Below are 24,537 nucleotides of genomic sequence, written 5' to 3'. Positions count from 1 at the left end.
CCATTTTGTGGTACGCCATTCACAGTTAAGGATTACAGTATCAGATAAGTTCACCTACTCATATGCCTAGGGTCACCCTAAACCTATCATATCTTTATATCACCAGGTCTGAGTATATAGTTGAAATAGGTATGCCCAGAATTTCTCAGAATCTGCACATTAGTTCCCTGGACTGTGGTGGACAAGTAAAAATTCTTTGAACTCCTACTGCTAAGACAAACACTACTTCCACCATCAAAGACTTGTAAATGCAGGGGTGGTGCATCTGTCATCCTCATTTCCTTTACCTCTTTGATCAGTGCAGCAGGCAGATGGAACTTACAGAATACAAGTAGATGATTATAAATTTAATCAAGCGGCGACTCTGATTGTACCTGCTATTCTAGATGTAGTCACTTTGCTTAAGTAAACCAAAATAGTCCTTAGTTCCTGATATGTAGCTACTCATCAGGAAAATGCGTTTTTCTTTTTATCAGTATGCAGATACCAAAATCTCTTCTGGGAGGGGTATCAATACATCTTCATCATCTTTCTCGCTTATGCCAACCTCCTGGCTCTGTGCTAAAATTTAGTCCATGCATCCCTCGATGACCATTCATATCTGACTGACCCCCTGTATGACAAAAAGAAGTGTATTATTCTATATTCTTTGGTAATACAATGTATATAAGAAGAAGAACAAGAATTGTAAGATAATATCATGATTTGTAACTTCAGTTTCTGGGAGCTTAATGATCTGGGACAAGTTGAGGTAGCATCCCCAAAGTGAGGGTAGAGTTGCTAACTTTGAACGTTTTCTCACTGAAAAAGAAGCCAACAATTTTATGGATCTATTTGGATTTGGGAGGCAACATTCCTATGTATGTGCTGGCTTCTCTGGTCCATTTACTGGATGACCTAAAAAATGGCTAACTTTGAATAGAGCTACCGCTAATCAATCAAGGGCTTTCTCTCTGGTTTGAACCGTAGCTCAAGCAGCTCTGCTACTTAACCTTTATGACCCATCAGGAGAGATAGTGCTTAAAATATAAAATGAAACAATAAGGATGCTAAATAGAGCTCATAGCAGGTCATGTGAAAGCCCCTAGGGCTTTGCATAGAAGCCATGCCCTTTTCAGCAAGTAATTATTCTTCTTGTGAGTAACACCTTGCTACTGGACTCTGACAGAGACTAAAAACCAGGTCATGGGACACCAGCTGACCATCATGAATGGGTTATCTCAGATGCCTCACCATTAACTAAGTACACCCTGTAGCATATGATTATCAAATGGAGGTGTTTTTCTACAGGCCAAAGCACAAACACAAACTTTTGCTTATTCTGAAAGCATAAGTTTCACGAGCAAGTGGTTCATACTTCTGGCATGTCTGCTTCTGACCTAATACCACCCCTCCTCAGCCCACACTTATGACTTCAGGAAAGTGGTCTATGAGTCATGGACTACAATGGAAAAGTTTTGAACAGCATCTAGAGAAGGCTCTGTGTGATATTCTGGCACCATCCGAAAGATTTGCTGAAATGTTTAGCAGCCATTTAGGCATGCTTCTGAGGGACTATGAAAAAGAGAAACCTCCCTGTGAGTAGAAACTTGAGAGCTCTTTTGTCCAATTTGCCTGTAATTATCAATGGCTTGAAGTTAAATCTATACAGGTTCACAGGAATGTGCTAACGGTTTGGTCAGATATTCAGATATTTGGAAGGAATGAGATTGAAGGATTGGAGATAAGGTTTGGAGAAATGTATATAACTCTCCAAATGGACCCAGGTTGTGAGGATACCTATCGCCTACAGGAGTACTCACCGAAAGACCTAAGAAACAAGGATATTCCCCAACCCTGTGTGACCCACGTATTGTCCTGCCTTCTCCTTCTTGCAGTTATTTCCTAACGCTAGATGGTTGCCTCTCACATGTGTACTGATCATTACTTAAAGACTCAAGGGGATCCCTCTAGAGATCTCTGAAGTGCTCTCTTTGTGGAGTCCTTCTTCTTTAGTACTCCACTCTGAAAATTTTAGAAGCCATGACTTCCCCCAAACTCCGGTCTCCATCTCTTACACTCAGCAAGATGACCAGAGACCATCCCTACCCTCACTATCAAACCTCTTGCAGATAGGAATCTAATACAATCTTAGCACTTGTCTTATTTTCTTTCTCTCAAAGATCACAGTCCTGCACTGTCTGTTGTCCAACATTTGAAACCATTAATTTGTATCATTTCTCTGGTGCTTTGTTGTTTCAGGAAGAATGGTAAATCCAAACTCTGTTACTCCATCTTGGCTGGAAGAAGGGTGCAGCTTCATTTTTAATGGGTGCCTAGAATTCCATTAATGGATGTACTCTGCTGGACTATATGTATTTGGTAGGACAAACCATGCCTTGTTGACTCTTATACCCAAAGTCTGAGGTATGATGGAATTTGACATATAGAAACATTCAATAAATAATTAACAGAATAAATTAATATTGAAGCTGTTTCTATCTCTTAGTATAAGAACATTAATAAATAGATATTTTTGTACAAATCTTTATCAGAGTTCTATAGTATTCATCATTTCTTTAGGATACATTTTGGTAAGCATAAATACTGGCTCAAAGAGAAGGCACATTTTAAGGCATTAATGTTTACTTCCAAATTGACCAAATGCAATCAATTTACATCTTCATTAGCTAATAAGCTTTTCATGAATGCTTATTTCTTTATATCCCTGACTCAACTGGATAATACACTTAAAAATATTTCTTAATTTCATAGGTTTTAAAGAAGCTATATTATATTAGTTGTTACTTTGATTTCTTCGACTACTATTGAAGTTTATCATATTTGTGTTTTTGTTTTCATTTGTAGTCCTTAAGCAATTCTATTGTTCAAATATTTTGTGAATTGTCTCCTAATCAAGTAGATAATGGGAACTTTTAACCTCTACAACATTCATCTTATATTCAGCACTACATCCAAAGCTTAGAGAGATATTTGGTTTTTAATCACCCCTTTTCTACTGTCATGTTTAAAACAGCTCAAAGCCAGAGAGCTCATTTGCTACTACAAAGAATGGACAGTATGTTCAAAGGATCCAGCAGTTTGGTAGAATCAAAAAGCAAAGAGGCAAAGAAAAGAACTGTAATTAAAAGCACTTTCACAGATCAAAAGTGTAAGCTCATTAAAGTTTTACTGAGCAGATGGCATTAATGAGTAGCCAAAGATGCATGCTCATTATTATTGTCCCCGTCATTGTTCCTTTGACATAAATGGCTCAGTAGATGTGAGACGCTTACCCAGATGATGAGATTCAATAATTAACATGGTACCTGGTCTCTTTTCCTACAGAAACACTCAATAGGGTCAATAAAGGAAAATGCATAAAATTAGAATAAGAAACATTCTCACCTTATTAAAGGGATAACTTACCTCAGCATTATTTATAGTTACAAAAACATTGGAAATTTCTAATAATATAGTAAATGATTAACTAAATTATGGGACTACCTCTAACTAAAGATATATGCTGCTATTAAACACTATTTTTCTGTAAAATTGTTAACATGGGAAAATGTTCATGACATGTTAATTTTGTTTAAAAAAGCCAAATGTGTATGCATTACAATCTCAATTACATAAAATACATACAATTATAAATATATGTGTATGTAAAGGACTACAGATTGTAGAAAACACACTAAAATATTAACTTTATCTTTGTGTGGGATGATAATAAGTGTTCGATTTTGTTTTCTGCCTTTTACTGTTATAATAACCACATATTACTTTTCTAACCAGAGAAAAACCACCACCACAGACTACTTTTTTAAAGAGAGAATTATATATCAAACGGTAGTTTGATCACAGTAGTTACCTCTATGAAGGGTGGCAAGACAGGGAACTTGCTTTGTCTGTACTATCAGAATACTTTAAAGCAAGAATATACTCATCTATTATTTATATAATGAAAATCATTTATTTTTTAACAAGGAGAATTGTGGATTATATTTTGGATATTTTCTTTATTCTGTTCCTTCATATTTAATATTCAAGTGTAAGGTTCCATTGTAACATTAGATTTAATATAGTGAAAAGCAGTCACCTTAGTATTAGAGACAAACCTTGATTTTTAGCCCAGGTCTACCACTTACTAACTGTGTGACCTTGGGCTAGTAACTTAACCTCTCTGTGCCCCAAAATTGGGGCATATGTAAAACATTAAATTGATATTTTTCTGCCCATCAACATGATTCTGATAATTCTTATAATTTATAGGAATGCTTGTGAGCTGTAAAAATGCTCCCCCAATGCAAGGTGTCATTTGGCAGTAACAAAAATGCACTGCCACTGAACAGAAAGGACACTTTTCAAAAGTTGTTTAACTTTACCTTCTGAACAAGGGAAATTCAAAAAGCGAGGGAGCAGAGAATTTAAAGAAGCAGGATGAGGGAAGCATAAAATTGGGAAGAAGTAAACTCCCCTCACCAGAAAAAAAAAAAAAAAAAAAAAAAAGGAAAAAGAAAAGCTAATCTCTCTCTCTCTCAATCTGAAGAAACTAAAGTTCAGAAAAGTAACTTGTGGGAAATTCTCATGGAACTAGATAAGACCCCAGACTTCCAATGTCTGACACACTGAAAGTACCAAACTCATGTTAATATACTAGATTTCAGCAAGTCTTCTTGGAAATTCTATACAGGACATGCAGCTCAACACCACTAGGCAGACATTAACTCGCTGGAGGAATAACCACGCTCATGCTCAGAACAAAGTGGGGACTCCAGCTTCTCTTCTCATCAGCCCCTATATCTACTTACTGACATATGCTCCTGTTACTACAGATGAACTGCCCAAGTTCCTGGGCAGTCCTGGTTAACACGTTGCCCTGGCATAATTATCAATGGTACCCTCATTTTATGCTCAAATACTCCCTGGTCTGGATCACAAAGCACATGTGATTTATAGGTATATATCTTATATATTTTAACCTATCAATAAGCAGTAGCGGGGACAGGTGGGTACTGAGACAGGTCATCCTGCTCACGGTCAGCACCAAGTCCTGAATGCGATGAGCACTGTGTCAATAACTGTCAGCTCCCTTCAGCTGCCAAGGAATCATTTTAACTCTGGGAGATGAACTAAAAAATGCCCCAGTGGAAGGAGCCAGTAGCTCATGGTCCATGTTTCACCTTAGAGTTCTCACACCCTCTCTCTCCTCTCACTAGCCAGGGCTCACAAAGATGATTCCCCATCTCCACCATTACCTCGCTCTTAGCCCCCAGACCTTCACTTCCACTGATGGATATTTTGAGTCCAATTTGCTGCAACATCTTGATATATCTAAAATCAATTATCACCTTGCCTCCAAACCAGCACTCTCCTCAGATTTCCTCCATCCTATGAATGAAGCCATCTGTCACCCAGACCCAGGCTGCAGAGTCATCTTCCACCTCCTCTGTGGTTCACCCCACCACCTTCATCTCAGCCAGCTGCTCAGGTGTGTCAGTCACCAACCAACTTCAGATCTATGTGACTGGGAGACTCTAGAGACCTCTGCCCCTGGTCCCTGCAGAAGCTTTATTTGGAAAATCTTCTACAAGTACTGCTATAATTACACCACTCCCTTTCCAGCACGTGCATCCTCTAGAGTCCAGCCCAACTCACACCTCCTCAGAAAAGCCTTCCCAACTCTTGCAGAAAGGCATTCTTTTCTCCTCTGGATAGCCATCAAACCTCTTAACTGTAGCATGAGTTCAGCATTTTTACCACAGCCTACTGTTGTCTCTTCTCTTAGTTAGAGTATGGAATTTCTGAGGGCTAGGGTCCTATCTCAGATATTTTTTTAAATCTCCCTCAAGTCTAATACAGAGCTTGATGTTAAATGCTTCCCTGTTTGGTGGCATAAGCTGAAGCACAACCAAATTAGATGATGTGTCCACTGAGGGAGCTTCAATTACAAAACTAGGATCAAAATGCAGGCCTCTGAGAACACCTCTTCAATCTTCCTTATAAAAGCTGTAGAAATATTCACTAGGTTAGTCACATACTCTAATTAATTTCATTAAGCCCCTCTGTGAAGAAAAGATTCTCTGTAATCAATACGTCGGAACAAATAGTTTCAAAGATGAAAAAAAGTGATTCATTTGCCCTAGGCAACACAGCTAGACTTTTTGATCTTCTGGAGTATATTTTTTATTTAAATACATCTTCATTCTGGAAATATTATCTGAATTTGTAATTTTTAAAGGACAAATGGGTATAAGTTGCCTGAAAGAAAAGAAGTTAACATTTTTGACATTCAATATATCCATGAATACTATGTCATTCAGTTCCTCTATTATTTTGAAACAGTCATTCAGGAAGTCTTTTGGTAAAGCAGGAAGAGAACTGGTCACTGAATATAATGTATTCCAGTCTCTCTAACACTTAGCACTGTCTAAATCTAATACTTTTGTCCTTCAAGCATTTGTGTTTTGCTTTTTCCATGTCCCCTTCAAACTAAAGTGTGATCTTCATGAGAGCAGGAATATTGCCTATCTGCTTCTTCAACAACAATGCTTGGTGCTTGGGTGGTGAAATTCATTTAGTTTCACTGGGTATTGGTTTCCTCACCGGTAAATTTAAAACATTGATGAACTCCAAGTTTTCTCTTAGATTCAAAAATCCTATTATTTAGGTAATTTAATAAGAAGCATAAAAAAGGAGGTTAGGCGGTGGCTCATGCCTGTAATCAATCCCAGCACTTTGCAGGCCAAGGTGGGTGGATCATTTGAGGTCAAGAATTTGAGACCAGCCTGGCCAACATGGTAAAACCCCATCTCTACCAAAAACACAAAAATTAGCCAGGCGGTAGTGGTGTGCACCTGTAATCCCAGCTACTCAGGAGGCTGAGGCAGGAGAATCGCTTGACCCTGGGAGGCAGAGGTTTCAGTGAGCCAAGATCGGGCCGCTGCACTCCAGTCTGGGCAAGACAGTGAGACCCTGTCTCAAAAAAAAAAAAAAAAAAAAAGGAAGGCTAATTTGGGGTTCATAGTAACCAAAAATATCCTCAGTCAATTAGGGCAGCAGCTGTTCTAGTTAATTGGTTATATTCCAGGAAATCTTTAATTTTCATGCTTAAATCACAAAGCAATATAACCAAGCAACCTTACCCATATTTAGCTATTTACGTTATTACTTCTAGACTTCTCAAGGATAGACCAGATTCTTTTAATGCCTAAGATACTTTAAAAGTGTCAGCTACTCAGGAGGCTGAGGTGGGAGGATCCCTTGAGGCCAGGAGTTTGAGGCCACAGTTTGCTATGATTGTACCTGTGAAAAGCCACTGCACTCCAGCCTGGACACTTAATAAGACCCTATCTCTTTAAAAAAAAAAAAGTTATTTTCTACCTCTTCAAGTTCATTGAGGTCTTATTTAACAGACCAAGGTAATTTTATTAAATGGTCTACAGTAGTTTGTAGTTTTGAATTATCTCCTTTTATAAAATCCTTCTTACCATCCAATTCTCAATCATTCTTCCCATTTGCAAAAGTAAAACTTTAAAGTTAGAGATAATAAATGATTATTTGCATTGTAAAAGACTTCATAATTCCCCTCCTCCAAGAAAAGTACTTGTAAAATTCAGCTAACTAGCAAGCTATCTTAAAATCTTTAGAAGAATTCCATTTATAAAAAAGATAATCAATTTTAAACATAGCAATTCAATGAAATGAAAAAACCAATCTAACCATACTTTTGTTTCAAGCAAGAAGCTGCAAATGCTGTCCTACATTTATAAAATGGATGATATATCATTAGGAAAAATGTAAGAACAAGTTGTCAAAAGGGTGATTTTTGAGCTCATACAGAAGGAACAAATGATTAACAGGAGCCGTCTGGCTTCACAAAGAAGGCCAACTTAAACCTATTCATTTTTTTGATAGGAGTATCAACTAAACTGAAAGATTAAAAGAACACTATAGTCATGAAAGGATCTAAATTTCAGTATTTCCGGATAACCTTACTGAAAGCATAGTGAAATGTGAGCTGATAATCACACAGTTAGCTGACTTCAGCATTGAATGCCAAGAATGCCAATCAATACACTGATGCCAATTTAAAGAGGCTTGATACCATGTTCTGTCTTTATCCTTGTATTATGGGGGCTTGGGGATAAATGACATATAAAGAAATGAGTGTGTAACAAGAAGCTATGTGGAATAGCAAAGTCATAAGATAATGAATTAACTATCCAAAATGAATTCAATAGAGCCAAACCAGGCAGTTAATTTTACATGAAAATTATGTGGGTAACCAGTCATCAGAAAACTGCAAATTAAAGCAATGAGATAATAACACTATACACATCTTTAAAATGTCTAAAATTGAAAGGACTTAACTAGTACTGGAGATACGGAAAAATAGAACTCTATACATTGCTAGTAAGCATATAAATGGTACAACCACTTTGAAAAATTATTTGGCAGTATGGTCTAAGCAAAACATATAGTTACCCCATGACCCAGCAATTCCACCCCTGAGTATACAACCACCAGATATGAGTGCCTGTTTCCAAAAGACATGTACTAGAATAGTCTTGGTAGCTTTATATTTAAAAGTCAAAGAGTTGAATGAATAAATAAATTGTGGTATAATTCATACTATGGAATGCTACATAGTAATAAAAAAGTGAGTTTCAGCCTCACTCAGCTATATGAACAAATGTCAGACGCACACATGAGAATTGGAATTGCACAATTTTATTTATATGAAGTTCAAAACAGGCAAAATTAATCTGCAGTGATAGAGATCAGAACAGTGGTTACATTTGTGGGATACTGGCTATGAAGGAACCTGAAACCACCTTTTAGGGTAGTAGAAAAATTCTCTATATTGATCTGGGTGGTGGTCAAATGGATGTTTACATATGTAGAAATTCTCTGAGCAGTGCACTTTAGATTAGTGCCTGTTACTCTATGTAAATTATTCCTCATCAAGGAGATTATATATACACATATGTATGTATGTAAATATGCATATATGTATATATGAATAAGTTAAAAACTGCATTTACATTCAAATAGGCAATTCTATTGGAGAGAGAAGAACCTAAACTGCTATACAAATGAAAATATTAATGGGTTTCTGTTGTCTACATATATGATATGAGTAAATGGCAAGGATAATTAGCTAATAAGATCTTAGTATTCATAAAAATGTGGTGTCAAGAACAATTCTATTGGGCCTTCTCTGTAGTATTTAGACCACACCTTGGGTATTATGGTTATTTCTTTCTGCAAAGCTTTAACATCACAAATTGGTATGCTTCTAGAGAAAAATAACCATATGTTGAACATCTGAGGCAAGTCTGAAAGAGCTAACTAAGGCTTTTCAGCCTGGGGAGGAAAAAAAAGATTCAGAGGGGAACCAGATTTATTCTATATATACTCAGAAGGCTGAAGTAGAATTAATAAGTAGAAGTTACAAGCAGGTTGATTTTGTTTTACTATAAGGAAGAAATTTCTAAATTATAAAGCTTCCATCAAATTGCTGCAAGAGGTAATAAGTTGATCAAACAATGACCAGACATATGCCTATGTATTTTGAGAAGGTACCTTTCTCAGCTAGTCGGTTAAATAAGAAGCCCTCTAATATTCCTCTTAATTCTGTTATTCCATTATTTTCCCAGTCAACATCAGTTTGTGTAACAGGAACATTTGGCAGGAATAAAGGAAATCCACAAGCAGCTTATTCTGTGCAGAAAGTCACTGATCATATCTTTCCACTCAAACAAGAGAGGCCTCTGTCCTACGGCTATAGACTTAATCACCATTCAAAGCCTTCATTACTTAGAAGAGCTTTCCAAAGTAGATAAAGCACATTTCTGAGGATGATAAAATAGAAGGGGAGTCTCTTGACAATGATTTACCTGACTGCCCATAATTTAAACTATAACCATCTTTATATAAATTGTTTTCTTTTTTGGTTTATTTCCTCAATCTATATACCATAATGTAGATTATAACTGAAAGGGCAAGAAATGTTTTATTGCTCTCATCATAATTGGGAAGAATGTACTCCAGAATCATTGGAACAATTTAAATGTCACTAGCAACATATAAATATATGTATTTTTCTCATACCTCCATTAACACTGGGTTTTGTCATTGTCATTATTTTTCTTCTAATTTAATAAGCAATAGTAGAGCTCTGAGTTGTTTCAACTAACATTTATTTAATTATTAGTGAGGCCACACACTTGAAAGTATTGAAAAACTGGAAAAAATACAATAAGCAATCCCATAGTAATCCCATAATGTTCATTTTTCATTGCACAGATCGCATCTGTTTGAGCCAAATTGTTTACTGCCGGGACAGGGATTTCCTCTGTCCTCACAAGCCAAGTGGTTCTACAGGATGGGAAACCATCTTTCCTTGACATTAGGTGAACATGATACTGTGGTCTTACCACTTCCTCATTATGCCGCTGTACTTTGTCGCAGGACCATTTTTTCCAGCCATGGTTATAGTAACAGCAAATTTCATTACATAGGTCCACAGTGGACAGCACTCCCATAAAGACTTCAGAGAATGCTGGTGTGCCAATGCATACCAAAGAGAACATTGCTACAAACCAAATTATTAACAGTGGTCACGTCCATTGATAGGATTGGGGGTAACTTTTTTCTTTTGTTAGTCTGTATTTTCTAATTTTTCAACAGTGAACATGGAGTACTTGTACAAATTTGTTTAAGTTCTCTGATGGGAACAGTGACAAGTAGGAGGAATATAAATAGAAAAAAGAGAAAAAAAGATTTTATCTTTAAACTATATTCCCTTTGTTGTTTTTTTAAAGGAAAGAAACAATTCCCATAATAGGCTCCATTGATGCATAAACTGTTACAAGCCATAGATCAAGGTGACGCAAAAAGTGCGGAAGTGGAGTTCCACAAAGACTTTGGGTTGTATTACTGTAAAGGCACCTGCTTTTCTCAGGCAAGAGTAGGGAAGAGAAGGAGAAGACATATCTCTAATAAACCACTTCAAAGCCAATGAATATTGGATTTTACGCAAACATTTTTCTATTTCTGTCCTGAAAGGCTTGAACACCAGGTTCATTGTCTATTACCAGGAAATATTCACATGTACTGGGACAAAAAGCAGGCGGAGAACCATGAGCAATTTGACCTCATTGTAGGCCACTTAATAATCTTTCTCTATTTACATGTTCATATATAATTAAGCTTCAAGGAAAGCTATAACTGGAAAAAAAAAATCCAAAAATGGTCAGTGGGTTATCCTCCCTAAGTTTTGACAAGGCATTATAGCTCCCAAAGCCCCAGCAAGATCCAAGGAATATGTGTGCTTCCCCTTGTGAAACACACAAGGTACAGACCCTTCCTCACTTCCTTAATCCTTCCTCATGTACTTGCAACCAAGCCAGAATGCTGGGTGAGGGGGCAATTCCAATGAACTTTTGTTCTATAATAGCAGAAATATCATTTTTTTACTAATGCACACAAGGGCATAATTATTAGGGTGTACCTCTTTTAAAAAATAGAGCTAAAATTACTTTTAACTGTAATTGCTTCAGTAAAAAATCTGACACCTCAATTCAAAGTTCAAAATGTACATTTAAAAATATTCACAGTGCTTTTTATAAAGCCATTTAACCTTAAATGTAGCACAAAATACTCTTTAAGGAAAACAGTAGATATTGGAAACATAGACTAATGAAATCAGGGGGTTTCAGGTACCACTTAGAAAATTATACACAGAGGGAGAAAATTTGAAAACAAAAATACCTTTTAGAAAAACTTTAAAAGAAACCTAATTAATAAAATTCCACAAAGATGACCTTCAATTGAGATGCATTTTCAAAATCTATTCAAGTTGTAAAGCTTATCATATAGACGCTTTGGGACATCATGTGAGACATTCATCAGATCCCAAGGCTCAAGATGTAAAAAATAAAAAAAGGGAAGTGTGCCAACCTGTGTCTGGAAGGTTAGGTGGTGAAGTCTTATAAAGAGAGATGAGGTTCAGGCCGGGTGCTGTGGCTCACACCCATAATCCCAGCACTTTGGGAGGTGGAGGCGAGTGGATCACCTAAAGTCAGGAGTTCAAGGAGTTCAAGACCAGCCTGGCCAGTGTGGGGAAACTCCATCTCTACTAAAAATACAAAAATTAGCTGGGCGTGGTGGTGCATACCTATAATGCCAGCTACTCAGGAGGCTGAGGTGGGAGAATCACTTGAACCCAGGAGGCGGAGGCTGCAGTGAGCCAAGATCATGCCACTACACTCCAGCCTGAGTGTCAGAGTGAGACTCTGTCTCAGAAACAATAAAAACAAAGAGACAAGGTTCAACAGAGAGCCAGCAGACTAGAATAGACTAGAAATTCAGAGCTTTGATAGAGGAGAGAAATGTGAAGGCAGAGCCAAGGTCTCTGCTGAGCACAGCAGGGCAGGGCGCCTGTGCCTGCGGCAAAGACAAAGTGAGCCAGCAAAGTCCAAGGGCAAAAGCTGGAGATTGCTAACTGGCTGGTTTTAGGGCAGCTTCAAGGAAAACCACCCCAGCTGCTAAAAGGACACGTCTGGGCCCACACCTCAATAGACTTTGCTTCTCCAGAAATCTCTAGAGCAGAAGGAAAGAAACAGGTTAGCAGAACCAGTGCAGTCCAGCTCTGGAGAGTGGGAGTCAGGAGGAAACAGAGAGGAAGAGCTGGGGTATGCAGAGGCTTGGGGTTACCAGAGTACATCCTGGCTTCCCTCAGCGAGGCAGAGGGGAAAAAGCAGGGGCTTCTTAATCATTAACTGACTCCAAACTAAGGAAGATAAGAAGGAGTGCATGTAATCTGTTCCCTGAAATTTCCTTTCAGTAATAAAGGAATTTTTGCACTAAAAATTCCTTTATTAGGAAGACTATTTGTCTGTTTCTCCTCTGCAGGGTAAACTGCATGAGGGCACAGTGCACCCATGCCTCACAGAGCCCCTGGCCAACAGGAGAGTAGATGCTGATCCACTGAATGAAGGGAGAGGGACCCAGGGGTGGAGTAAGTCAGTCTCAGTAGGGAGTGAAAGGGTAGACTTCAAATCCCAGGTAGTTTTTCTGGAGGCAAATCCCCTTCAATGCCTGTTAAGGGTAAGCGTTACCCTAAAGAAGCAGTATTGGGAAACCTGCAAGACAGCCTTCTGTTTCCATGAATCTTCTGCTTTGGTGAGTCTATTCAGCCCACAGCTGACATGCACTAGTCCCCTAAACATGTCAGACTTGACATTTATCATCACATTTTCAAGTTTTGCAAACCTGCTCCTAAACATGGGTTCCCTTTAAACAAAACTACAAAGAACCCTTTATATTACATATTTTCTTTGATTCTGCCTGCATTAGCAAGCCAGCAAGAAACGTGGGCAGTGAAAACTCCTGACTATAGTGCTATCTGGCTCCTTTCATGTCTCTGTGAGTTGTTTCTGTGCACTGTCACTTGGGAATCAAGCCTTGCACCAGCTACGTGGCCAGAATTAGAATGGGAAGTTCACTCTCTCTGTAGACCTGCTATTGCTATACCCCACAACAGCAAAAGGAAGATTACAAAAACACAAATCAGATCTTGTAAACACTTCACTGTATAAAACATTTCCCCAGGTTCTTATCACGCTTAGAATAAAATTCAAATTCCTTGTCATGACCTCCAAAGCCTTAAACGATCTAGTCCCATCCACCTTTCCAACCTCTGTTTCCACCTCTCTTTTCTCTCTCCCTCCCCATCCAAACAAGCCTAAATATGCTGTCATCCAGGAGAATGGCCTACAACAAAAGACCTTATCATATTTTCTCTTATTTTAGTAATTTTTTAAAAAGTTTTCATTGTTTCAAAAACTTTTAACACAGCTCTCAATCACTGTGTAATGAACATAACAAAATGTAGACATGCAGTTATTTTGACAAGCCTGGATGAAAAGTTATGCTTCCAGTCTTGGTTTATGATTAGTCTGTCACTTACATCACTCCCCCTTATTATCCATGCACCTATCATTCTCAGTTCCTAATGATCACAGGGGCGGAGATGGTCAGAGCTAAGACTTACAGAGTAGACATCAACAATTCCACAAATACCACTGAGCAAATGTCTGCCCTTAAAAACCAGGATCACCCCACAACAGAACATCATCTCATTATTTTAACACAGCACAGCTTTTCCTTGCTAAAATGCGTTTGGTCTGTAGGATGGATTGGTTTGGTTTGGTTTTGAATTGCAATATTTGCAGTTGGTGCCCAGCTCACAACTGGGTCTTCAAGCAGGCTCACTGCCCATCTCACCAACTGCTGCATTCTCTCATGGCTGCCAAGAGAAGAACATTTTGCTGTTTCAGCATTCCAGGAGAGCGTGCAGAAAACACAAACTCCAGGGCCTTATAAGTCAGGCTTCTTCACATGCTCTCAGTATGGACACAGCAAGCTTTAAATGCCTCACAATGGAGTTCAAGCTTTAAAATTTCTGGTTGGTGGCCAGAGGCCTGGTGAGCTAGAGATGCCTATGCTTCTCCTGGTGGTAGGTAGAGGAGACACTTCACCATTTGAAAAGTGAACTTCAGTTATCACCACCGTCTCTTTAGGATTTGCTAAGAGCAGCAGACACCTTGTTTGCCAGAATGTAAGAGCATGAGAGGTAACAGCCAGGGCAGGCTGTTCTCAGGACCCAGACAAGTCGGCTTTCTCTCCAGCCTTAGAGGCATTCTGTTGTTCTTCGAGATATCAGCCCATTTTCCATGGCCTCTCTCTCTTCAGTCCCTGGGTTGTTTCCTCTGAAACTGCCAGTGTGTAGAGGAGGCTGATAAAATGAGTTGTTTAAAGTGTCTACTAGACTCTTTGCTTTTACTTTAAACCTGGCTCACCTACCACCGACCACCCACCATGCGGCCAGCAGTCGACTAAAGGAAGCCACTGTTCACCAATCACCTTTGACCTGCTGGCCTTAATCCCCGCTCCATTCCACTTCTCCAGGCTCTGACCACTTAGTCTTAAACTTCCCTTCCTTTTCCTGTTGGCCCCAAGATTTCATCACTGAGTTTAATCTCTTCCTCATGACCTGTCACCTTCTCTAGCACACGGTTTATGTTCTCCATCTCTCTCCTCCTCTCCTGATCTATTTGACTCTCCCATCTCTTTCCCATAGTGGTTTCCAGCCCACCTAATGAGTGACCCTTGAAGATAAATTCAGACATAAAGATGTTAAAAGATTTAACTTGCCAGCTCCATCAACCCTGAAAACTACATCTCCAGCCCTTCCTCCCTCCCATTTTCCTATATCTTTTGTGCCTGAAAGCCATATTAAAATCAAAGTTATCTTTCCTCTAAAACCAGATTTATTCTGGATGATTTCTCTCTTTCTGTTCTTAGTACCATCATTCTTCTGCTCACAGAAGAATGTGAGCTGTTCATCCATTCTCACAAAGGTCAGCATACCAGCCTCCTTTTCACTCGTTTTCAACCCAAGGACTTCACAAAAGCTGTTCCCTTTGCCTGGACAGTTCTTACTTTCCTTCATTCCTGCCTCACTCCAACTCATCCCTCAAGTTTCACTGTCAGTATCCCCAAAACCCTTCCTAATTGCTTATTACGCCAGTTTCCATTTCTCTGATAGCACGTATTACCATTATAACCTAAATCAAGCTTGTCCAACCCACGGCCCAGGATGGCTTTGAATGCGGCCTAACACAAATTTGTGAACTTTGTTTAAACATTATGAGGTGGTTTTTTTTCTTTTTTTTGTTTTTTTGCTCACTAGCTATCATTAGTGTATTTTATGTATGGCCCAAGACAATTCTTATTCTCCCAGTGTGGCCCAGGGAAGCCAAAAGATTGAACATCCGGATCTAAATATTGACTTGTGGAATTACATGTAGGATGTTGGTAAACCACACCTCCCAGTACAGTAGGCACGAGCCACATGACACTGTTGAGCACTTAACATGTAGCGAATCCAAACTGAGATGTATTATAAGTGCAAAACACATACAAAATTTTGAAGACTTAGTACAATAAAAAGAATGTAAACTATCTCAATAACTTTTACACTGATTACATGTCATAATACTTTAGCTATATTGTTAAATAAAATATGTTATTAAAATTAATTTTACCTGCTTCTTTTCGCTTTTAAAAATGTATTTCTAGAACATTTTAAGTTATAATATGCACTCCCATTATATTTCTACTGGACAGGGCTGTTGTAGACCTTAAGCCCCACGAGGACAAAGCCATTTTGTTCATGACTGTAATCACAGCTACATTAGCACAGGGCCTGGCACATAGTAACTGGATTGGGGACTATATTTTGAAAGAATAAGTTTTTCTAGACACCTGGGATTTAAATCTAGGATTCTCAGGCCAGGGATGGTGGCGAACACCTGTAACCCCAGCACTTTGTGAGGCCCGGGAGTTTGAGACCAGCCTGGACAACATGGCAAAACCCTATCTCTACAAAAAATTAAAAAATCAGCCAGGCATGGTGGCACACATCTGTAGTCCCAGCTACTTGGGAGGCTGAGGTGGGAGTATGACTTGAGCCTAGGAGGCGGAGGTTGCAGTAAGCCAAGATCACACCACTGCTCTCCAGCCTGGGCAACAGCGAGACCCTGTCTCAAAAAAGTAAAAGTAAATGAATAAATAAGTCTAGGATTCTACTTTTTAGAAAAAGAGTAACCAAGGATAAACCATTAAGATGAGGGAGTCAGCAGCTCCCCTCTCCAGCAGTTCGTGCTGTCTGCTTGCCATGGGCATCAGAGCTTCTCTCAGCCTGGGAGACTTCGTTGTGGGACAAGGTCTAAACAGGCTCAGACAGTTTGTCACTGGCTTACATTGATAGCATATCCATCTGAAAGTACTCAACAACTAGGTTTACCTTTCAAATTATGGACAATGCTGGAACAGAAAATAATAAAAGAATCTACATAGCAAGAAAGGATTTAAGGGCAATTCATTTGATCTAAGTCATTTTCACAAATATGATCTCATGAGTAATAGCTCATTTGCTTTTCTCAACCCTTAGTATCAGAAAATTCCTAACCTGAATTCATCATAAGGCAAAACATTTAACATGTGGGAAAACATTTAAATGTGGGAAAGAATAGAGTGTCTAAGAAGTCTAGTGATGTCCTGAAAGACCATTCTTCTTCCACATTATTTGGCTCACTCACATTCACAGACATGACCATCACTGTGAAGTGACTCAGCAATTTCAAGTATCTGTATTGCATTACACCAAGTTCCCATGGTTGGCATTAATAGCACATTGCTTGAGGAAGGAAGAAGCCAAGCTGTCCTGTGATCCTGAAGACTAATCCCACAAGAGAAGCACTGGTTAGTCACAGACAAGAGCACAGGGAATAGAAGCTGTTCAACCACATGTATCAGGTGACAACTGGAAGAGAGTTGCTGAGAGCTGGGATGCCGAGAAGGCAATCTAACACAAAGACTCTTAACACAAACATCCATTTCATCTGAAGCATCAACCACTCCTTACTTGGCAGTATCACTGCCTTCCCCAATGACAATAGGAACAAAAAACATCACTTTAATGAGGTTTACAGAGGCAGAGAAAGCTACCACTCCCTCTTTCTTTCCTCATGTTTCAAAATCCACAGAGCTGAGAGACAACCAGATGGTATAGCCTCAGAAGTGTCACAGTCAGCCTTAAGCTTTCTCAAGAACACAGAAATAGTACTGGGCTAGAAATGAGAAGTTGGGATTCCTATCCCTCCTATTAGGTATTAGTTTGAAAATCACTGAGTTGACATGCGTTAGGCCTGTTGTTCCCAGTGTTGCCTTGTGACTCTGCTCACAGCAAATGACTTAAACAGCAACAGCCATATGACAGGATACTCAGCTTCCCTGTGGCTGAGGCTCCTTTTGTTACAAGAAAGTCTTGGAGGAACACAAGATCCAACAGGATGCCTTCATGTCCATGAGATCTCACCAACCCTACATCTATCTTTCCCCACTTACCCAATAAGGATTCAAATATTTTAGAGTAAAATTAGAGAAAGGAAAAAAAAACTCAGGTTTTTTTTTTGTTTTTGTTTATTTTTTTAAAGATAGGGACATGTAAAAAGGGTACACGAGTCAAAGGCCCTAAGCAGGAACAGATTGAGCAACAAAACAAATAGTAGTATTGGATTTTAACCCATAGACTAAAATAAATACCCATAAGTCCACACTGAATAAGTAAATGAGTGAATAAATAAATTAGGGAGAAGAGACAGCTTTTCCTTACAGAAAAATTTCAGTTAATGAAAATAGAAGAAATAGGGAAATAGAAAACAGCAATTAGAATACCACAATAATAATTACTGCAGGCAAGATCCACAGTTAGATGCTAAAATTAATGGTCAGAAGGTTGAGGAGGAACAGATATTTTTAAAGTCTCAAAATATCTCTCCCAAGATATTTATAAATTTTAAAAGGGAAAATAGTAACCTTACAGAATAGAAACTCAAGAGATACCACCCTAACCAAGAGATCATGGCTAACAGCACCAGTAATAAGATACACTGACGGCCAGGCACAGTGGCTCAGCCTGTAATCCCAGCACTTTGGGAGACTGAGGTGGGCAGATCACGAGTTCAGGAGATCGAGACCATCCTGGCCAACATGGTGAAACCCTGTCTCTACTAAAATACAAAAAATTAGCCAGGTGTGGTGGTGAGCGCCTGTAGTCCCAGCTACTGGGGAGGCTGAGGCAGGGGAATCTCTTGAACTCAGTAGGTGGAGATTGCGGTGAGCCAAGATTGCACCATTGCACTCCAGCCTGGTGACAGAGCAAGACTCCATCTCAAAAAAAAAAAAGATATACTGACATCAAGAATCTCACGTTAGATGCACTGAGATCACTGATATTACTTCAGCTACAATGTAATTTTTTTTACCAAAAATATGGAACCTCAATCTCCTCACAAGAAAACATCAGACAAACCAAATAGAGGGACATTCTACAAAATATTTGACCAGTACTTTTCAGAAGTGTCAAGGTCATGAAAGAGAAGGAAGGACTGAGGAGCTGTCATGCATCACAGGAGATTAAGGAGATGACAAGTAAACAAGACGTGGGCTCCTGAACTGGATCACAGAACAGAAACAGAGCACTAGTGGAAAACTGGCGAAATCCAAAGAGTCAGTAGCTTAGCTGATATTATTGTATTGATATTAATTTTTTAGCATTGAAAATTGTACTATGGTTTTCTAGGATAGTAACAGAGAATCTGGGTGAAGAGTATACAGGAACTCTATATATCGGCAACTTTTATGCAAATCAAAAATCATTCCAATTAAAAAGTTTAAAAATGGAAATTAAAAATTTGAAGAGGCCAGGCGCGGTGGCTCACGCCTGTAATCTCAGCACTTTGGGAGGCCGAGGCAGGTGGATCACGAGGTCAGGAGATCGAGACCATCCTGGCTAACACGGTGAAACCCCATCTCTACTAAAAATACAAAAAATTAGCCAGGCGTGGTGGTGGGCGCCTGTAGTCCCAGCTACTCAGGAGGCTGAGGCAGGAGAATGGCGTGAACCCAGGAGGCGAAGCTTGCAGTGAGCTGAGATCGCACCACTGCACTCCAGCCTGGGCGACAGTGCAAGACTCCATCTCAAAAAAAAAAAAATTTTTTTTGAAGGAAGGTTGAATCCTAAAATTAAAAGTGGCAGAAGATATTAAAAATGTAAAAGACCAACATATTCAACTAAATAAAATTTCAAGGAAATAAGGAGTTCACAACAGAAAATAAATCAATGCACTGCTTCCTTCATTGAGAAAGTCTTGAATGAACAAAACATCAGGCAAATTAAACAGCATGTCTAGTGACCTAGTTGATTTACATTTTGACACAAACTTCTAATCGCCTCATAGACTAGTAACAGCTTGCAGACAGTCACAGGTCCATAGACCATACTTGAGTAGCACCATTGTAGACCATTATAAGGGCTTTGACTTGTATGTAGTGGGATAGGGAGTCTATTGGAGAGTTTTGAACCAAAGAATAATTTGATCTGACTTATATTTTAACAGAATCATTCTAACTCCTACTTTGAAAAACGCTGATGCTCCTGAGGTGGCAGGCGTATAAAAACAAAAACAAAAAAAGAAAAACGCTGATGAGTTGATGACTTGGACTACAGTTGGATACAGTGAAGATGGTGTGAGGTGGTTGGATTCTAGAAATATTTTGAAGCTAGAGTCAATAGAATATCCTGACAGGTTGAACAGGTAAGCGACGGAAAAAAAGGCGACGACAACATCAACATTTTGGCCATTGCAACTGGAAGGATGGATAAAGTTACTGTCGAGATGGAAAGACTTGGAGCAGGTATGGGGAGAAAGATAAGGAACTTGGTTCTGAATATGTAAAGTCTGAAATGCATATTAGACACCTGAGAGGAGATATCAAGTAGATAGTTGGACATAAGGGTCTGGAGTTCAGGAACTTATTCTAACACCCTTCCTTCTTCCCGATCCTCCAGCCTCTTCAGACCAGACCTAGATCTGCCCAAGTTATTTCTTGTAATTACTTATACCATGGAAAATCTTAAAACTATTGCTAGATGGAAATCACTAGGAGTCACTTTACGTTGATTATTCCTTTTAATCCTCACCATTTGGCCAAAGGTTAGACACTATTATCCCATTAAGGTAAGGAAACCAAGGCTTAGGGAAGACAAATAATTTTCTCAAGATCACATAGCCAGGAAGTAATAGAATGATTATTTAAAAACAATTCTGTCTACCCCAAGTTCCTGTCCTGTAGAATGCCTTGCTGTTCAACTGCTGGACAGTCTCCCTTGGGAATGTGGTCATGAAGACTCTTGTTCACACGGGCAGTTTGGCTGGGTTAGACCAGATGACTCTGAGAAGCTTCCTGGCTCTACAATTCTGGGTTTCTATAAAATCTGTTTTAAAGTGAGAATACGTTTTGAAATGTTTTATGTCTTCTTTTTCCCCCTGAAAAATCTCTATAGGAAGGAACCAGTTTCCAGTTCAAGAAAGGGAGTAGGTACTTCAAAATGATTAGAGCAATGGACAATTTCCCTTCCCAACCCAGCTCCAATCCATGGGCCTTTAAAATAAATTTAAAAAAAAATTCAGTGGTAAACCTATGGATTATATTTTTTTAAAAAATCCAATGATGTTATTACCACTACCTTCAGTAAACATATACAAACATCCTCAATTTTATCAGAAAGCAAAGACAAACATCCTCAATTTTATCAGAAAACAAAGACAAAAAGTGAAGACAGCTGCTATTTGAATAAAAATCATGAATTGCTGCAGGCACGTTCTTTAAAGCACTGTTTCCATATTCTTCTTCCCCCATGACCCTCCCAACAAGTAGCCCTTAATGACAGTTTCACTGTTTTTCACACCAAAAATGGCTTTCAAGTGTAGGAAAGTATCAGAAGGTCCCTGCTGGGCTGCCAGCTGGGCAAGTGTCACAGGCCACTGAACTCTAAAATGAGCTGTCTCTGTAACAAAGGGTCCCTTTCTCTTGGAACAACTTCAAGGAGATGGCACACTGCAGCCCTCCTCGCCCGTTTTGTATTCCAGTTTGATTAAACTGGGAATTGTTCTGTGCTCACCGCTGTTGAGAACACCAGGTGGTGGATTCTAGAGATAAAGGATTATATAGATCCTTTGTTAGAAACAGACGTCTCTATTGTCTGGCTTACAATATTTCAGCACAAATGCCAGGAGCTTCCCAGACTGCCTAACGGTTATGCACAGGAGACAATCAATAAATCCTATTCCCCACTCACGCAAGGCAAATGGGGGCTGCTGGTGGCTAAACATGGTCTAGCCACTGGCTAAAAATGAAAGAAAGTGAAAAATGAGTATTTACAATGAAAGAAGTGAAATGTGTCCAAGATGTAGCAACAGTTGATCTTCATAGAACCTGGATGTCAGGAAAAATGAGATGATTTCTCGTCTTAACCAGAAACTCCTTGTGGGACTGGCACCACGCTGGGTCAGCATTGTCTCCCCAGTCCCTCATGCAGGACATATTTGCTGAAGAGGTCTAATAATAAATGGAACAATGATAGCTAATGTTTATTAGAATCGTTATTTCTCACTATATTAGTTTTCTTTTGTTATTGTTGTGTTTTTGAGATGGGGTCTTGCTCTATTGCCCAATCTAGGGTTCAGTGGTCCAATCATAGCTCACTGTAACCCCAAACTCCTGGGCTCAGGCCATCCTCCTGCCTCAGCCTCCCGAGTGGCTGAAACTGCAGGTGTGTGCCACCACATCGGGCTAATTTATTTTTTAGTAGAGACAAGGGCTCACTATGTTGTTCAGGCTGGTCTCAAACTCCTGGCTTGAAGCATTCTGCCTTCCTCAGCCTCCCAAAATGCTAGGATTATAGGCGTGAGCTGCTGTGCCTGGCCCTTTTATTACTTTTCTATTGCTGTATAACCAATTACCACAAGCCTAGTGACTCAAAACAACACACAGTCATATCTCACCATTCTGTAGTTCTGAAGTCCAAGAAGACTTGACTGGATTTTCTGCTCAGAATCTCACAAGGCTGAAGTCAATGTGTCAGCCAGCTGGGCTCTTATGGGGAGGTTCTGAGAAGAATCGACTTCTAAGCTCATTCGCATTGTTAGCTGAATTTACTTCCTTGAGGCTGTAGAACTGAGTCTCCATTTCCTTGCTGGCTGTCAGCCGGGGTGTCTATCAGCTCCGAAGGTGTCTATTCCTTCTCACTTGGTGCCCTCTCCTCAAAGCCAGCAATGGCACATCAAGTCCTTCTCACACTTGGAAACTCCCGGACTTCCTCCTCTACCAGCCCCTGAAGAAAGCACTCTGCTTTTAAAGGGGCTCGTATGATTAGATTGGGCCCACCCAGAGAATCTCCTATTTTAACTCAATTGTGCCTGCATAACAAGGGGGAGTGATGTTTCATCATATTCCCAGGTTCTGGGGATTAGGGGAGAACATCTTTGAGGGGCATTTAAGGAATCTTGCATACTACAGTGGCAGACATTGTTCCAAGTGTTTCACATTTAATAATCCATCAATCCTCATAACAACCCTGTGCGGTAGGCTCTATTATCTTCCCCATTTTATAGATGAAGCACAGAGAGACCTTACTTGCCAAGGTCTCCCAGGCAGGGCCTGGATTTCGACTCAGGCAGGCTGGCTTCAGAGCCTTACCTCTTATCCACCATTGTACATTGCTATTCAATTAACTGTTTCTGGAATTATTGAATACATGAATAATTGAATTTGGTATGGGACTTGGAGACAGTGCTAAGGATGAGTAAATTCCTTAATTTGTATGGAAAATTTTGTGCATAAATTTTCTGCTAATTGTGAAGGGAGTCTGCAGAATCTCAAAGGCATAGGTCTTAGAGAAGTGCCTATACCTGAGAAATTCCTCCAATAAAATGCCTTCCCTTTTCAGACTTCAGCTGTTAGTGAGCAACAACACTAAACACAGAATTGCAAACATCTGAGACCAATGTGGAACTGTTGCAACTGCTTTTGACACTAGATAGTCTCTGCCCTCTGTCACTTTCCTCCTTGGCCATGGCCCAGGACAAATATTGACAGTCATGAGAACAAAGCCAATATGCTAATTTGGATTCTAGGAAAACAAGAAGAAAAATTAAAAGGGTCAAAAATTGAGCCAAAACAAATGCAAGAAAGGAGAATCACCAAAAACTGAAGTCATTTCGCAAGCCTGAAATTTATTTTACGTGCTGCTGTCTCTTTCTGTGAGTCCTGTTGTCTATTGCAGGGGTGTCCAATCTTTTGGCTTCCCTGGGCCACAGTAGAAGAAGAATTGTCTTGGGCCAAACACAAAATACACTAATGATAGCTGATGAACTAAAAAATAAAAATTGCAACAAAAATCTCAAAACGTTTTAGGAAAGTTTACGAATTTGTGTTGGGCCTCATTGAAAGCTGTCCTGGGCTGCCTGAGGCCCGTGGGCCACAGGCTGGACAAGCTTGTCCTATTGCTTATCTGGGGTATAGAAGAAACAACACTGGATTGAAACTCAGAAGACTTGAGTTCCAGGCCTGGCTCTGTTTCTTATGTGATCTTAAACAAGTCACTTAATTTTCTGGATCTTATTCATCCCATTTGTAAAATACAAATAATGCCTACCTCACAGAATTTTGGAAATAATTAAATATGATAGTGAATAGGTTGTGTTCCCTTTACAAATTGTAAAGTACAATACAAATGTTACATGACATTATTGCACCAGGTGACCAAGGGACTGATGGAAGGAAGGGATAGTGCATGCAGAGCCACCTGACAAAGAGGATACTTCTCCCAGTGTGATGATCTAAAATGAACATGGGCTTAGGAAGAAAGAGAGTAACATCAAGAAGCTATAGACTACCCGCTAGTCTTCTGAACATGCATTTTGCAAAATAAAATACACTTAAAGAGTAAAAAATAGTATTGATATCTTTATGGGAAAAAATGGAGGCAAAGAAAAATCATTTGCACAAGTTGCAGAGCTGAAAGTCCATTTTGGATATGCTGACTCTCAATACAGTGCTTGAAGCCAAACTTAA

General features: G+C 39.3%; 1 long non-coding RNA gene across 1 annotated transcript in view; it reads right to left on the bottom strand.

The window, feature by feature from the left end:
• Nucleotides 1–23,532, bottom strand: part of LOC107985239 (uncharacterized) — a 202,893-nt gene extending 179,361 nt beyond the window's left edge. The window contains exon 1 of the long non-coding RNA XR_001738340.2: nucleotides 22,467–23,532. This is a non-coding gene — a long non-coding RNA (uncharacterized LOC107985239). The remainder of the gene's footprint in view (nucleotides 1–22,466) is intronic.
• Nucleotides 23,533–24,537: the final 1,005 nt, after the last annotated feature.

Source organism: Homo sapiens, chromosome 1 (assembly GCF_000001405.40).
Source record: "Homo sapiens chromosome 1, GRCh38.p14 Primary Assembly".
In the NCBI taxonomy this organism is placed as follows: Eukaryota; Metazoa; Chordata; class Mammalia; order Primates; family Hominidae; genus Homo; species Homo sapiens.
Note: the sequence above shows the minus strand (reverse complement) of the source record. Positions and strands in the feature narration are given on the sequence as shown.